The sequence below is a fragment of the Homo sapiens genome, chromosome 10 (genome assembly GCF_000001405.40).
Source record: "Homo sapiens chromosome 10, GRCh38.p14 Primary Assembly".
Lineage (NCBI taxonomy): Eukaryota > Metazoa > Chordata > Mammalia > Primates > Hominidae > Homo > Homo sapiens.
The window spans coordinates 39,479,372-39,497,198 of record NC_000010.11 but is presented as its reverse complement, the minus strand read 5'-3'; positions in this window follow the sequence as shown (position 1 = coordinate 39,497,198).

The window sequence follows — 17,827 nt, the reverse complement described above, 5'->3', positions numbered from 1 at the left end:
TTCCACATTAGGCCTCAAAGCACTCCAAATATCCACTTGCAGATTCTACAAAAAGAGTGTTTCCAAACTCCTCAATCAAAAGAGAGGTTCAACTCTATGAGATGAATGCACACATCACAAAGTAGTTTCTCAGAATGCTTCTGTGTAGTTGTTATGTGAAGACATTTTCTTTTTCATTGTAAGCTGCCAAGGGCTCCAAATATCCACTTGCAGATTCTACAAAAAGAAAGATTCAAAACTGCTGTATCAAAAGATAGGTTCATCAGTGTGAAATGAATGCACACATCACAAAGAAGATTCTCAGAACGCTCCTGTGTAGTTTTTATGTGAAGATATTTCCTTTTCCACCATAGCCCTCAAAGTCCTTCAAATGTCCACTTGCAGATTGTACAAAAAGTGTGTTTCAAAACTGTTCAATCAAACGAAATGTTCAACTCTGTGAGATGAATGCACACATCTCAAAAAAGTTCCTCAGAATGTTTCTGTGTAGTTTTTCTGGGAAGATATTTCCTTTCACACCATCAGCCACAAAGGGCTCCAAATAATCACTTGCAGATTCTAAAAAAAGAGAGTTTCAAAACTGCTCAATTAAAAGAGAGGTTCTACACTCTGAGATGAATGCACATGTCACAAACAAGTTTCTCAGAATGCTTCTGTGTAGTTTTTATCTGAATATATTTCCTTTTCCACCATAGGCCTCAAAGCACTCCAAATATCCACTTGCAGATTCTATGAAAAGAGTGTTTCAAAACTGCTCAATCAAAAGAAAGTTTCAACTCTGTGAGATGAATGCACATATCACAAAGAAGTTTCTCAGAATGCTCCTTTGTAGTTTTTATGGGAAGATATCTCCTTTTCCACCATCGGCCACAGAGGGCTCCATATAACCAATTGCCGATCCTATAAAAAGAGAGTTTCAAAACTGCTCTATCAAAAGATAGGTTCATCTCTGCGACCTGAGTGCACACATCACAAAGAAGTTTCCCAGAATGCTTCTGTGTAGTTTTTGTGGGAAGATATTTCCTTTTCCACCATTGGCCACATAACCACTTGCAGATTCTACAAAAATAGAGTTTCAAAACTGCTCTATTGAAAGATAGGTACAACTCTGTGAATTGGGTGCACTCAACACAAGGAAGTTTCTCAGAATGATACCGTGTGGTTTTTATGTAAAGATATTTCCTTTTCCACCATAGCCCTCAAAGCACTGCAAATATCACCTTGCATATTCTACAAAAAGAGTGTTTCAAAACTGCTCAATCAAAAGAAAGTTTCAACTCTGTGAGATCAATGCACACATCACAAAGAAATTTCTCAGAATGCTTCTGTGTATATTTTATGTGAAGATATTTCCTTTTCTACCTTAAGCTGCAAATGATTCCAAATATCCACTTGCAGATTCTACAAAAAGAGTTTCAAAACTGCTCTATTGAAAGATAGGTACAACTGTGTGAGTTGGGTGCACTCAACACAAGGAAGTTTCTCAGAATGATACCATGTGGTTTTTATGTAAAGATATTTCCTTAACCTCCATAGGCCTCAAAGCGCTGCAAATATTGCCTTGCATGTTCTACAAAGAGAGTGTTTCAAAACTGCTCAAACAAAAGAAAGGTTCAACTCTGTGAGATCAATGCACACATCACAAAGAAGTTTCTCAGAATGCTTCTGTGTATATTTTATGTGAAGATATTTCCTTTTCCACCTTAGGCCACAAAGCATTCCAAATATCCACTTGCAGATTCTACAAAAAGAGAGTTTCAATACTATTCTATCAAAAGATTGTTTCAACACTGTAAGTTGAATGCACAGATCACAAAGAAGTTTCTCAGAATGCTTCTGTGTAGTTGTTATGTGAAGATATTTCCTTTTCCACCATAGGCCTCAAAGCGTTCCAAATATCCATTTGCAGATTCTACAAAAAGAGTGTTTCCAAATCTGCTCAATTGAAAGAATGGTTCAAATCTGTAAGATGAATGCACACATCACAGAGAAGTTTCTCAGAATGCTTTCTTGTGCTTTTTATGTGAAGATATTTCCTTTTCTACAATAGGCCTCAAAGCGCTCCAAATATCCACTTACAGATTCTCCAAACAAGTGTTTCAATCTGCTCAATCAAAAGAAAGATTTAAATCTGTGAGATGAATGCACACATCACAAAGAAGTTTCTCAGAGTGTTTCTGTGTAGTTTTTATGGGAAGATATTTCCTTTTCCACCATCGGCCACAAAGGGCTCCAAATAACCACTTGCAGATTCTACAAAAGGGAGTTTCAAAACTGCTTTATCAAAAGATAGGTTCAACTCTGGGAGTTGAAAATACACAGCACAAAGAAGTTTCTCAGAATGTTTCTGTGTATTTTTTATGTGAAGTTATTTCCTTTTACACCATAGGCCTCAAATAGCTCCAAATCTCCACTTGCAGACTTTCAAAAACAGTGTTTCAAAACTGCTCAATCAAATGAAAAGGTCAACTCAGGGAGATGAAGGTAAACATCAGAAAGAAGTTTCTCAGAATGCTTCTGTGTACTTTTCGTGTGAAGATATTTACTTTTCCACTATAGACCTTACAGTGCTCCAAATACCCACTTCCAGATTCTACAAAATGAGGGTTTCCAAACTGCTCAATAAAAAGGGAGGTGCAACTCTGTGACATGAATGCAAATATCATGAAGAAGTTTCTCAGAATGCTTCTTTGTAGTTTTTATGTAAAGATATTTCCTTTTCCACCATAGGCCTCAAAGTTTTCCAAATATGCACTTGCAGATTCTACAAAAAGAGTGTTTCAAAATTGCTGTATCAAAAGAAATGTTCACCCCTGTGAGATGAATGCACACATCACAAATAAGTTTCTCAGAATGCTTCTGTTTAGTTTTTATGTGAAGATATTTGCTTTTCCACCATAGTCCACAAAGGGCTCTAAATATCCAATTGCACATTCTACAAAAAGTGAGTTTCAAAGCTGCTCTATGCAAAGAAAGTTTCACCTTTGTGAGTTGAATGCACCCATCACCAAGAAGTTTCTCAGAATGCTTCTGTGTAGTTTTTATTTGAAGATATTTCCTTTTCCACCATATGCCACAAAAGGCTACAAATATCCACTTGCAGATTCTACAAAAAGAGAGTTTCCACACTGTTCTATCAAGAGATAGGTTCAACTCTGTGAGATGAATGCACACATCACAAAGAAATTTCTCAGAATGATTCTGTGTCATGTTTATGTGAAGATAATTCCTTTTCCATAGTAGGCTTCCAAGGGCTCCAAATATCCACTTGCAGACTCTACTAAAAGAGTGTTTCCAAACTGCTCAATCAAAAGAAAGGTTCAACTCTGTGAGATGAATGCACACAAAACAAAGAAGTTTCTGAGAATGCTTCTGTGTGTTGTTTTTATGTGAAGATATTTCCTTTACCACCATAGGCCTCAAAGCACTCCAAACACCCATTTGCTGATTCTACAAAAAGAGTGTTTCCAAACTACTCAATCAAAAGAGAGGTTCAGCTCTGTGGGATGAATGGACACATCACAAAGAAGTTTCTCAGAATGCTTCTGTGTAGTTTTTATAGGAAGATATTTCCTTTTCCACCAAGGCCACGAACGGCTCCAAGCAATCACTTGCAGACTCCACGAAAAGATAGTTTAAAAACTACTCTATCAAAAGATAGGTTCAATCCTGTGAGATGAACGCACACATCAGAAAGACGTTTCTCAGAATGCTTCTGTGTAGTTTTTATGTATAGACACTTCCTTTTTCACCATAGGATGCAAAGGTCTCCAAGTATCCACTTACAGATGCTACAAAAAGAGGGTTTCAAAACTGCTCAACCAAAAGAAAGTTTCAAATCTGTGAGATGAATGCACACATCACAAAGAAGTTCCTCAGAATGCATGTAGTTTTTATGTGAAGATATTTCCTTTTACCCAATAGGCCTCCACGGGCTCCAAATATCCCCTTGCAGATTCTACTAAAACAATGTTTCCAAAGTTCAAAAGAACTTTTCAAAAAGAAAGGTTGAACTTTCAACTTTCAAAAAGAAAGGTTGAACTCTGTGAGATGAATGCATACATCATAAAGAAGTTTCTCAGAAAGCTTCTGTGTAGTTTTTCTATGAAGATATTTCCTTTTCCACCATAGGCCTCAAATCGCTCCAAATATCCACTTGCAGGTTCTATAAAGAGAGTGTTTCAAAACTGCTCAAGCAAAAGAAAGGTTCAACACTGTGAGTTGAATGCACACATCACAAAGGTGTTTCTCAGAATGCTTCTGTGTAGTTTTCATGTGAAGATATTTCCTTTTCCACCACAGGCCTCAAAGGGCTCCAAATATCCACTTGCAGATTCTACAAAAAGAGTATCAAAACTGCTCTATCAAAAGATAAGTTAATCTCTGTCAGTTGAATGCAGACATCACAGAGAAGTTTCTCAGAATGTTTCTGTGTAGCTTTTATGGGTAGATATTGCCTTTTCCGCTGTCGGCCACAAAGCGCTCCAAATATACACTTGCAGATTCTACAAAAAGAGAGTTTCAAAACTGCTCAATCAAAATAAAGGTTCAAATCTGCGAGTTGTATGCACATATCACAAAGAAGTTTCTCAGAATGCTTCCGTGTAGTTTTTATGTGAAGATATTTCCTTTTCCACAACAGGCCTCAAAGCGGGCCAAATCTCCACTTGCAGATTCTACAAAAACAGTGTTTCAAAACTGCTCAATCAAAAGAAAGGGCCAACTCAGGGAGATGAATGTAAACATCAGAAAGAAGTTTCTCGGAATGCTTCTGTGTATTTTTCGTGTGAAGATATTGTCTTTTCCACCATAGGCCACAAAGGGCTCCAAATATCCACGTACAGATTCTTCAAATAGAGAGTTTCAAAACTGTACTATCAAAAGATAGGTTCAACTCTGCGAGTTGAATGAACACATCACAAAGAAGTTTCTCAGAATGCTTCTGTGTAGTTTTTATGTGAAGATATTCTTTTTTCCACCATAGGCCTCTAAGTGCTCAAAATATCCACTTGCAGATTTTACAAAAAGAGTGTTTCAAAACTGCTCAGTCAAAAGAAAGTTTCAACTCGGTGAGATGAATGCACACGAAACAAAGACATTTCTGAGAATGCTTCTGTGTAGTTTTTATTTGAAGATATTTCCTTTTGCACAATAGGCCTCAAAGCACTCCAAATATCCACTTGCAGATTCTACAAAATGAGTGTTTCCAAACTGCTCAATCAAAACAGAGGTTCAACTCTGTGAGATGAATGGAAACATCACAAAAGTTTCTCAGAATGCTTCTGTGGAGTTTTTATGTGAAGATATTTCCTTTTCCACCTTAGGCCTCAAAGGGCTCCTAATACCACTTGCAGATTCTACCAAAGATAGTTTCAAAACTGGACTATAAAAAGAGAGTTTCAACTCTGGCAGTTGAATGTCCAGATCCTAAAGAAGTTTCTCAGAATTCTTTTGTGTAGTTTTTTGTGAAGTTAATTCCTTTTCCACCATAGGAGGCAAAGGGCTTCAAATATCCACTTGCAAATTCTACAAAAAGATATTTTCAAAACTGCTCAATCAACAGATAGGTTCAACTCTGTGAGGTGAATGCACACATCACAAAGAAGTTTCTAAGAATGCTTCTTTGTGGTTTTTGTGCATAGATATTTCCTTTTCCACTGCAGGCCTCAAAGTGCTCCAAATATCCACTTGTAGATTCCACAAAAAGAGTGTTTCCAAACTGCTCAATCAAAAGAAAGGTTCAACTCTGTGAGATGAATGCACGCAATATAATGAAGTTTATCAGCATGCTCCTGTCTAGTTTTAATGTAAAGATATTTCCTTTTAAACCATAGGACTCAAAGCATTTGAAATATCCAGTTGCAGATTCTACAAAATGAGTGTTTCAAAAGTGCTCAATGAAAAGAAAGGTTCAACTATGTGAGTTGAATGCAGACATCACAAATAAGTTTCTCAGAATGCTTCTGTCTAGTTTTTATGTGAAGATATTTCCTTTTCCACCATAGGCCTCAAACCTCTCCAAATATCCAATTGCCGATACCAAAAGAAATCTGTTTCCAAACTGCACAATCAAAATAAAGGTTCAACTCTGTGAGTAAAATGCACCCATCACAAAGAAGTTTCTCAGAATGCTTCAGTGTAGTTTGTATGTGAAGATATTTCCTTTTCCACAATAGGCCTCAAAGTGCTCCAAATATCCACTTTAGATTCTACAAAAACTGGTACCAAAACAGAGATATGGATCAATGGAACAGAACAGAGCCCTCAGAAATGACGAGTCATATCTACAACTATCTGATCTTTTACAAACCTGAGAAAAACAAGGAATGGGGAAAGGATTCCATATTTAACAAATGGTGCTGGGAATAGTGGCTAGCCATATGTAGAAAGCTGAAACTGGATCCCTTCCTTACACCTTATACAAAAATTAATTCAAGATGGAGTAAAGACTTAAAGATTAGACCTAAAACCATAAAAACCCTAGAAGAAAACCTAGGCATTGCCATTCAGGACATAGGCATGGGCAAGTTCTTCATGTCTAAAACACCAAAAGCAATGGCAACAAAAGCCAAAATTGACATATAGGATCTAATCAAACTAAAGAGCTTCTGTACAGCCAAAGAAACTACCATCAGAATGAACAGGCAACCTACAAATTGGGAGAAAATTTTCACAAGCTACTCATCTAACAAAGGGTTAATATCCAGAATCTACAATGAACTCAAACAAATTTACAAGAAAAAAACAAAAAAACCCATCAAAAGGTGGGCGAAGGACATGAACAGACACTTCTCAAAAGAAGACATTTATGCAGCCAGAAAACACATGAATAAATGCTCACCATCACTGGCCATCAGAGAATTGCAAATCAAAACCACAATGAGATACAATCTCACACCAGTTAGAATGGCAATCATTAAAAAGTCAGGAAACAACAGGTGATGGAGAGGATGTGGAGAAATAGGAACACTTTTACACTGTTGGTGGGACTTTAAACTAGTTCAATCATTGTGGAAGTCAGAGTGGTGATTCCTCCGGGATCTAGAACTAGAAATGCCATTTGACCCAGCCATCCCATTACTGGGTATATACCCAAAGGACTATAAATCATGCTGCTATAAAGACACATGCACACATATATTTATTGTGGCTCTGTTCACAATAGCAAAGACTTGGAACCAACCCAAATGCCCAACAACGATAGACTGGATTAAGAAAATGTGGCACATATACACCATGGAATACTGTGCAGCCATAAAAAATGATGAGTTCATGTCCTTTGTAGGGACATTGATGAAATTGGAAATCATCATTCTCAGTATATTATCACAAGAAAAAAACAAACACTGCATATTCTCACTCATAGGTGGGAATAGATCAATGAGAACACATGGACACAGGAAGGGGAACATCACACTCTGGGGACAGTTGTGGGTTGGGGGGAGGGGTAAGGGATAGCATTAGGAGACAAACCTAATGATAAATGACCAGTTACTGGGTGCAGCACACCAGTATGGCACTTGTACACATATGTAATTAACGTGCACATTGTGCACATGTACCCTAAAACTTAAAGTATAAAAATAAGAAAATAAAAAAATAAAAAATAAAAAAAAACTACACAGAAGCATTCTGAGAAACTTCTGTGTGATGTGTGCATTCATCTCACAGAGTTGAACCTTTCTTTTGATTGAGCAGTTTGGAAACACTCTTTTTGTAGAATCTGCAAATGGATATTTGTAGCGCTTTGAGGCCTATTGTGGAAAAGGAAATATCTTAATATTAAAACTACACAGAAGCATTCTGAGAAACTTCTTTGTGATGTGTGCATTCAACTCACAGGTTTGAACCTACCTTATGATTGAGCAGTTTTGAAACTCCCTTTTTGTAAAGCCTGCAAGTGGATATTTGGAAAACTTTGAGGCTCATGGTGAAAAAGGAAATATATTCATATAAAAATTATACAGAAGCATTCTGAGAAACTTCTTAGTGACGTGTGCATTCATCTCACACAGTTGAAGCATTCCTTTTAATGAGCAGTATGGAAAAACTATTTTTGTAGTATCTGCAAGTGGATATTTGGGGAGCTTTGAGGCCTATTAAGGAAAAGGAAATATCTTCACATAAAAATTATAAAGAAGCATTCTTACATACTACTTTGTGATGTGTGCATTGAACTCACAGAGTTGAACGTATTTTTTGATTGGGCAATTTTATAACTCTCTTTTTGTAGATTCTGCAAGTGGGTATTTGGAGCCCTTTGCTGCCTATGTTGGAAAAGGAAATATCTACACATAAAAAATACACAGAAGCATTCTGAGAAACTTCTATGTGATATGTGCATTCATCTCACAGAGTTGACACTTTCTTTTGATTGAGCAGTTTCGAAACTCTCTTTTTGTAAAATCTGCAAGTGGATATTTGGAGACCTTTGCGGCCTATGGTGGAAAAGGAAATGTCTTCCCATAAAAACTACATAGAAGCATTCTGAGAAACTCCTTAGTGAGGTTTGCATTCAACTCACAGTGTTGAACCTATCTTTTGTTTGAGCAGATTTGAATCTCTCTTTTTGTAGAATATGCAAGTGGATATTTGGAGCCCTTAGTGGCCTATTTTGGAAAAGGAAATGTCTTCACATAAAAACTATGCAGAAGCATTCTGAGAAGGTTCTTTGTGACGTGTGTGAGTTGAACCTTTCTTTTGACTGAGCAGTTTTCAAACACTCCTTTTGTAAAATGTGCATGTGGATATTTGGAGCACTTTTTGTCCTATAGTGCAAAGTTAAATATCTTAACATAAAAACTAGACAGAAGCATTCTGAGAAACTTCGTTCTGATGTGTGCATTCATCTCACAGACTTGAACATTTCTTTTGATTGAGCAGTTTTGAAACACTCTTTTTTTATTATTTTTCTACTTTAAGTTTTAGGGTACATGTGCACAATGTGCAGGTTAGTTACATTTCTCAGATAAGTAATATATATGCACCCAATGCAGGAGCACCCAGATTCATAAAGCAAGTCCTGAGTGACCTACAAAGAGACTTAGACTCCCACACAATAATAATGGGAGATTTTAACACCCGACGGTCAACATTAGACACATCAACGAGACAGAAAGTTAACAAGGATACCCAGGAATGGAACTCAGCACTGCACCAGGCGGACCTAATAGATATCTACAGAACTCTCCACCCCAAGTCAACAGAATAGACATTTTTTTCAGTACCACACCACACCTATTCCAAAATTGACCACATAGTTGGAAGTAAAGCTCTCCACAGCAAATGTAAAAGATCAGAAATTATAAAAAACTGTCACATGAAAACTACACAGAAGCATTCTGAGAAATTTCTTTGTGATGTGTGCATTCATCTCACAGAGTTGAACCTTTCTTTTGATTGAGCAGTTTGGTAACACTCTTTTTGTAGAATCTGCAAGTGGATATTTGGAACGCTTTGAAGCCTATGGTGGAAAAGGAAATATCTTCATATAGAAACTACACAGAAGCATTCTGAGAAACTTCTTTGTGATGTGTGCATTCAACTAACAGAGTTGAACCTATCTTTTGATAGAGCAGTTTAGAAACACTATTTTTGTAAAATCTGCATGTGGATATTTGGAGCCATTTGCAGCCTATGGTGGAAAAGGAAATATCTTTACATAAAAATTACACAGAAACATTCTGAGAAACATCTTTGTGATGTGGGCATTTATCTCAGGGAACTGAATCTTTCTTTTGACGGAGCAGTTTTGAAACACTCTTTTTGTAGAATCTGCAAGTGGATATTTGAAGTGCTTTGCGGTCTATTATGGAAAAGGAAATATCTTCACATAAATACTACACAGAAGCATTCTGAGAAACTTCTTTTTGATGTGTGCATTCAACTCACAGAGTTGAACCTCTCTTTTGATTGAGCAGTTTTGAATCTCTCTTTTTGTAGAATCTCCAAGTTAATATTTGGAGCCCTTTGCAGCCTATTTTGGAAAAGGAAATATCTTCACATAAAAACTACATGGAAGCATTCTGAGAAACTTCTTTGTGATGGGTGCATTCATCTCACACTGTTGAACCTTTCTTTTGATTGAGCAGTTTTGAAATACTCTTTTTGTAGAATCTGAAAGTGGATATTTGGAGCCATTTGGGGCCTATTGTGGAAAAAGAAATGTGTTCACATAAAAACTACACAGAAGCATTTGGAGAAACTTCTTTTTGATGTGTGCATTCATCTCACAGTGTTGAACCTTTCTTTTGATTGAGCAGTATAGAAACACTCTTTTTGCAGAATCTGCAAGTGTATATTTGGAGCGCTTTGAGGCCTACTGTGGAAAAGGAAATATCCTCACATAAAAATGACACAGAAGGATTCTGAGAAACTGCTTTGCAATGTTTGCATTCATCTCACAGAGTTGAACTTTCTTTTGACTGAGCAGTTTGGAAACACTATTTTTATAGAATCTGCCAGTGGATATTTTGAGCCCTGAGTGGCTTATAGTGGAAAAGGAAATATCTTCACATAAAAACTACACAGAAGCATTCTGAGAAACATCTTTGTGATGTGTGCATTCATCTCACAGAGTTGAAACTTTCTTTTGATTGAGAAGTTTTGAAGCACTCTTTTTGTAGAATCTGCAAGTGGATATTTGGAGCACTTTGAGGCCTATGTTTGAAAAGAAAATGTCTTCCAATAAAAACTACACAGAAGCATTCAGAGAAACTTCTTTGTGATGTGTGCATTCATCTCACAGAGTTGAACTTTTCTTTTGATTGACCAGTTTGGAAACACTGTTTTTGTGGAATCTGCAGTGATAATTGGAGTGCTTTGAGGCCCATGGTGGAAAAGGAAATATCTTCATATAAAAACTACACAGAATCATTCTGAGAAACTACTTTGTGATGTGTGCATTCAAATCACAGTGTTGAACCTCTCTTTTGATTGAGCAGTTTTGAAACTCTCCTTTTGTAGAACCTGCAAATGGATATTTAGAGCCCTTTGCGGCATATGGTGGAAAATGAAATATCTTCACATGAAAACTACACAGAAGCATTCTGAGAAACTTCTTTGTGTTGTGTGCGTTCATCTCACAGAGTTGAAGCTCTCTTTTGATTGAACAGTTTTGAAACACTCTTTTTGTAGAATCTGCAAGTGGGTATTTGAAGTGCTTTCAGGCCTATTGTGGAAAAGGAAATGTCTTCACATAAAAACTACAAAGAAGCATTCTGAGAAACATCTTTGTTATGTGTGCGTTCATCTCACAGAGCTGAAGCTTTCTTTTGATTGAGCAGTTTTGAAGCACTCTTTTTGTAGAATCTGCAAGTGGCTATTTCGAGCGTTTTGAGGCCTATGTTGGAAAAGGAAATATCTTCACAAAAAAATACAAAGAAGCATTCTGAGAAACTTCTTTGCAATGTGAGCATTTATGTCACAGAGTTCAACCTATCTTTTGATTGAGCAGTTTTTAAATTCTCTTTTTGTAGAATCTACAAGTGGATATTTGGAGCCCTTTGTGGCCTATGGTGGAAAAGGAAATATCTTCACATAAAAACAACACAGAAGCATTCTGAGAAACTTCTTTGTGATGTGTGCATTCAACTCACAGTGTTGAACCTATCTTTTGATTGAGCAGATTTGAATCTGTTTTTGTAGAATCTACAAGTGGATATTTGGAGCCCTTTGTGGCCTATTTTGGAAAAGGAAATATCTTCACATGAAAACTACACAGAAGCATTCTGACAAACTTCTTTGTGATGTGTGCATTCATGACACAGAGTCGAATCTTTCTTTTGATTGAGCAGTTTTGAAACACTGTTTTTATAGAATCTGCAAGTGGATATTTGAAGCGCTTTGAAGCCTATGTTGGAAAAGGAAATATATTCACATAAAAACGACACAGAACCATTCTGAGAAACTTCTTTGCATTGTGTGCATTCATCTCACAGGGTTGAACCTTTCTTTTGATGGAACAGTTTTGAAACACTCTTCTTCTAGAATCTCCAACTGAATACTTGGAGCACATTGAGGCCTATTGCGGAAAAGGAAATATCCTCACATGAAAACTACACAGAAGCATTCTGAGAAACTTCTTTGTGATATGTGCATTCATCTGACAGAGTTGAACTTTTCTTTGATTGAGCAGTTTTGAAACACTCTTTGTAGAATCTGCAAGTGGATAGTTGGTGTGCCATGAGGCCTATGGAGGAAAAGGAAATATCTGCACATAAAAACCCTACAGAAGTATTCTGAGAAGCTTCTTTGTGATGTGTGCATTCATCTCACAGAGTTGAACTTTACTTTTGATTGAGCAGTTTGGAAACACTCTTTTTTAGAATCTGCAAATGGATATTTGGAGCGCTTTGAGGCCTATGTTGGAAAAGGATGTATCTTCACATAAAAACTACACAGAAGAATTCTGAGACTTCTTTTTGATGTGTGCATTCAACTCACAGAGTTGAACCTATCTTTTGATAGAGCAGTTTTGAAAATCTCTTTTGGTAGAATCTGCCACTGGATATTTGGAGCCCTTTGCGGCCTATGGTGGAAAAGGATATGTCTTCACATAAAATCTACACAGAAGCATTCTGAGAAACTTCTTTGTGATGTGTGCATTCATCTCAGGGAGTTGAACCTTTCTTTGGATTGAGGAGTTTTGAAACCCTCTTTTTGAAGTATCTGCAAGTGGATATTTGGAGTTATTTGCGGCCTATTCTGGAAAAGGGAATATCTTCACATAAAAACTACACAGAAGCATTCTGAGAAACTTCTTTGTGATGTGTGCATTCATCTCACAGAGTTGAACATTTCTTTTCATTGAGCAGTTTTGAAACACTGTTTTTGTTGTACCTGCAAGTGGACATTTGGAGCGCTTTGAGGCCTATTGTGGAAAAGGAAATATCTTCACATAAAAACTACACAGAATAGGTTGTGAAAATTTTCTTCCATTTTGTAGGTTGCCTGTTCACTCTGATAGTAGTTTATTTTGCTGTGCAGAAGCTCTTTAGTTTAATTAGATCCCATTTGTCAATGTTGGTTTTTGTTGCCATTGCTTTTGGTGTTTTAGACATGAAGTCCTTGCCTATGTCTATATCCTGAATGGTAATGCCTAGGTTTTCTTATTGGGTTTTTATGTTTTTTGGTCTAACGTTTCAGTCTTTAATCCATCTTGAATTAATTTTTGTATAAGTTGTAAGGAAGGGATCCAGTTTCACCTTTCTACATATGGCTAACCAGTTTTCCCAGCACCATTAATTATTTAGGGAATCCTTTCCCCATTGCCTGTTTTTCTCAGGTTTGTCAAAGATCAGATAGTTGTAGATATGCGGCATTATTTTTGAGGGCTCTGTTCTGTTCCATTGATCTATACCTCTGTTTTGGTACCAGTACCCTGCTGCTTTGGTTACTGTAGCCTTGTAGTATAGTTTAAAGTCAGGTAGCTTGATGCCTCAAGCTTTGTTCTTTTGGCTTAAGATTGACTTGGCGATGTGGGCTCTCTTTTGGTTCCATATGAACTTTAAAGTACTTTTTTCCAATTCTGTGAAGAAAGTCATTGGTAGCTTGATGGGGATGGCATTGAATCTATAAATTACCTTGGGCAGTATGGCCATTTTCACGATATTGAGTCTTCCTACCCATGAGCATGGAATGCTCTTCCATTTGTTTGTATCCTCTTTTATTTCATTGAGCAGTGGTTTGTTGTTCTTCTTGAAGAGGTCCTTCACATTCCTTGTAAATTGGATTCCTAGGTATTTTATTCTCTTTGAAGCAACTGTGAATGGGAGTTCACTCATGATTTGGCTCTCTGTCTGTTGTTGATGTATAAGAATGCTTGTGATTTTTGTACATTGATTTTGTATCCTGAGACTTTGCTGAAGTTGCTTATCAGCTTAAGGAGATTTTTGGCTGATATAATGGGGTTTTCTAGATATACAATCATGTCATCTGCAAACAGGGACAATTTGACTTCCTCTTTTCCTAATTGAATACACTTTGTTTCCTTCTCCTGCCTAATTGCCCTGGCCAGAACTTCCAACACTATGTTGAATAGGAGTAGTGAGAGAGGGCATCCCTGTCTTGTGACAGTTATCAAAGGGAATGCTTCCAGTTTTTGCCCATTCAGTATGATAAGGCTTTGGGTTTGTCATAGATAGCTGTTATTATTTTCAGATAAGTCACATAAATACCTAATTTATTGAGAGTTTTTAACATGAAGAATTGTTGAATTTTATGATCAAGTGGGCTTCATGCCTGGGATACAAGAGTGGTTCAATATACGTAAATCAATAAATATAATCCAGGATATAAACAGAACCAAAGACAAAAACCACATGATTATCTCAATAGATGGACCGTTCTTTTGATTGAGCAGTTTGAGACACTCTTTATGTAGAATCTGCAAGTGGATATGTGGAGCTCATTGAGACCTATGGAGGAAAAGGAAATAACTTCACATAAAAACTACACAGAAGCATCCTGAGAAACTTCCTTGTGATGTGTGCATTCATGTCACAGAGTTGAACCTTTCTTTTGATTGAGCTGTTTTGAGAACTCTTTTTGTAGAATCCACAAGTGTATATTTGGAGTGATCTGAGGCCTATACTGAAAAAGGAAATATCTTCACATAGAAACTACACAGAAACATTCCGAGATACTTCTTTGTGATGTGTGCATTCATCGCACAGAGTTGAAACTTTCTTTTGATTGAGCAGTATTGAAACATTCCTTTTGTACAATCTGCAAGTGGATATGTGGAGCTCATTGAGGCCTATGGAGGAAAAGGAAATAACTTCACATAAAAACTACACAGAAGCATCCTGAGAAACTTCCTTGTGATGTGTGCATTCATGTCACAGAGTTGAACCTTTCTTTTGGTTGAGCAGTTTTGAAGAACTCTTTTTGTAGAATCCACAAGTGTATATTTGGAGTGATCTGAGGCCTATACTGAAAAAGGAAATATCTTCACATAGAAACTACACAGAAGCATTCCGAGATACTTCTTTGTGATGTGTGCATTCATCGCACAGAGTTGAAACTTTCTTTTGATTGAGCAGTATTGAAACATTCTTTTTGTACAATCTGCAAGTGGATATTTGGAGTGCTTTGAGGCCTATGTGGAAAAGGAATTATCTTCACATAAAATCTATACAGAAGCATTCTGAGAAATGCCTTTGTGATGTGTCCATTCAACTCACAGAGTTGAACATATCTTTTGATAGAACAGTTTTGAAACTCTCTTTTTTTAAAATCTGCAATTGGATATTTGTAGCACTTTGCAGCCTATTTTGGAAAAGAAAATATCTTCACATAAAAACTACACAGAAACATTCTGAGAAACCGCTTTGTTATATGTGTATTTATCTACCAGAGTTGAACCGTTCTTTTGATTGAGCAGTTTTGAAACACTCTTTTTATAGAATCTGCAAGAGGATATTTGAAGTGCTTTGAGACCAATTGTGGAAAAGGAAATATCTTCATATTAAAATTACACAGAAGCATTCTGAGAAACATCTTTGCGATGAGTGCGTTCAACTCACAGAGTTGAAATTTTCTTTAGATTGAGCAGTTTTGAAACACTATTTTTGTAGAATCTGCAAGTGTATATGTGGAGTGCTTTGAGGCCTATGGTGGAAAAGGAAATATCTTCACATAAGAATTACACATAAGCATCCTGAGAAACTGTTTTGTGATGTGTGCATTCAAATCACAGAGTTGCATTTATCTTTTTATAGAGCAGTTTTGAAACTCTCTTACTGTAAAATCTGCAAGTAAATATTTTTAGCCCTTTGTGGCCTATAGTGTAAAAGGATATATCTTCTCATAAAAACTACACAGAAATATTCTGAGAAACTTCTTTGTGATGTGTGCATTTATCTCACAGAGTTGAAACTTTCTTTTCATTGAACAGTTTGGAATCACTCTTTTTGTAGAATCTGGAAGTGGATATTTGGAGCACTTTGAGGCCTACAGTGGAAAAGAAAATGTCTTTGCACAAAAACTACACAGAAGCATACTGAGAAACTTCTCTGTGATATGTCCATTCAACTCACACAGTTGAACCTGTCTTTTGATAGAGCAGTTTTGAAACTCTCTTTTTGAAAATTCTGCCATTGCATATTTGGAGCCCTTTGTGGCATATGTTGGAAAAGGTAATATCTTCAAAAAAAAATACACAGAACATTCAGAGAAAATTCTTTGCAATGTTTACATTCATCCCTCAGTATTGAAGCTTTCTTTGATTGAGCAGTCTTGAAACACTCTTTTTGTAGAATCTGCAAGTGGGTACTTGGAGCGCTTTGAGGCCTATGGTCAAAAAGGAAATATCCTCACATAAACACTACACAGAAGCATTCTGAGAAACTTCCTTGTGATGTGCTCATTCATCTCACAGAGTTTAAACTGTCTTTTGATTTAGCAGTTTTGAAACTATCTTTTTGTAGAATCTGCAAATGGATATTTGGAGCCCTTCGTGGCCTATGGTGGAAAACGAAATATCTTCACATAAAAACGACACAGAAGCATTCTGACAAACTTCTTTGTGATGTGTGCATTCATCTGACAGAGTTGAACCTTTCTGTTGATTGAGCAGTTTGGAAACACACTTTTTGTGGAATCTGCAAGTGTATATTTGCAGTGCTTTGAGGCCTACGATGGAAAAGCAAATATCTTCACAGGGAAGCTCTGCAGAAGCATTCTGGGAAACCTCTTAGTGATGCGTGCAATCCTCTCACAGCGTTGAAGTTTTCTTTTTTTTTCTTTTTTTTTTTATTATACTTTAAGTTTTAGGGTACATGTGTACATTGTGCAGGTTAGTTACATATGTATACATGTGCCATGCTTGTACGCTGCACCCATTAACTCGTCATCTTGCATTAGGTATAACTCCTAATGCTATCCCTCCCCCCTCCCCCCACCCCACAACAGTCCCCAGAGTGTGATATTCCCTTTCCTGTGTCCATGTGATCTCATTGTTCAATTCCCACCTATGAGTGAGAATATGCGGTGTTTGGTTTTTTGTTCTTGCGACAGTTTACTGAGAATGATGATTTCCAATTTCATCCATGTCCCTACAAAGGACATGAACTCATCATTTTTTATGGCTGCATAGTATTCCATGGTGTATATGTGCCACATTTTCTTAATCCAGTCTATCATTGTTGGACATTTGGGTTGGTTCCAAGTCTTTGCTATTGTGAATAATGCCACAATAAACATACGTGTGCATGTGTCTTTATAGCAGCATGATTTATAGTCTTTTGGGTATATACCCAGTAATGGGATGGCTAGGTCAAATGGTATTTCTAGTTCTAGATCCCTGAGGAATCGCCACACTGACTTCCACAATGGTTGAACTAGTTTACAGTCCCACCAACAGTGTAAAAGTGTTCCTATTTCTCCACATCCTCTCGAGCACCTATTGTTTCCTGACTTTTTAATGATTGCCATTCTAACTGGTGTGAGATGGTATCTCATTGTGGTTTTGATTTGAATTTCTCTAATGGCCAGTGATGATGAGCATTTTTTCATGTGTTTTTTGGCTGCATAAACGTGTTCTTTTGAGAAGTGTCTGTGCATGTCCTTCACCCACTTTTTGATAGGGTTGTTTGTTTTTTCTTGTAAATTTGTTTGTGTTCATTGTAGATTCTGGATATTAACCCTTTGTCAGATGAGTAGGTTGTGAAAATTTTCTCCCATTTTGTAGGTTGCCTGTTCACTCTGATGGTAGTTTCTTTTGCTGTGCAGAAGCTCTTTAGTTTAATTAGATCTCATTTGTCAATTTTGTCTTTTGTTGTCATTGCTTTTGGTGTTTTAGACATGAAGTCCTTGCCCATGCCTA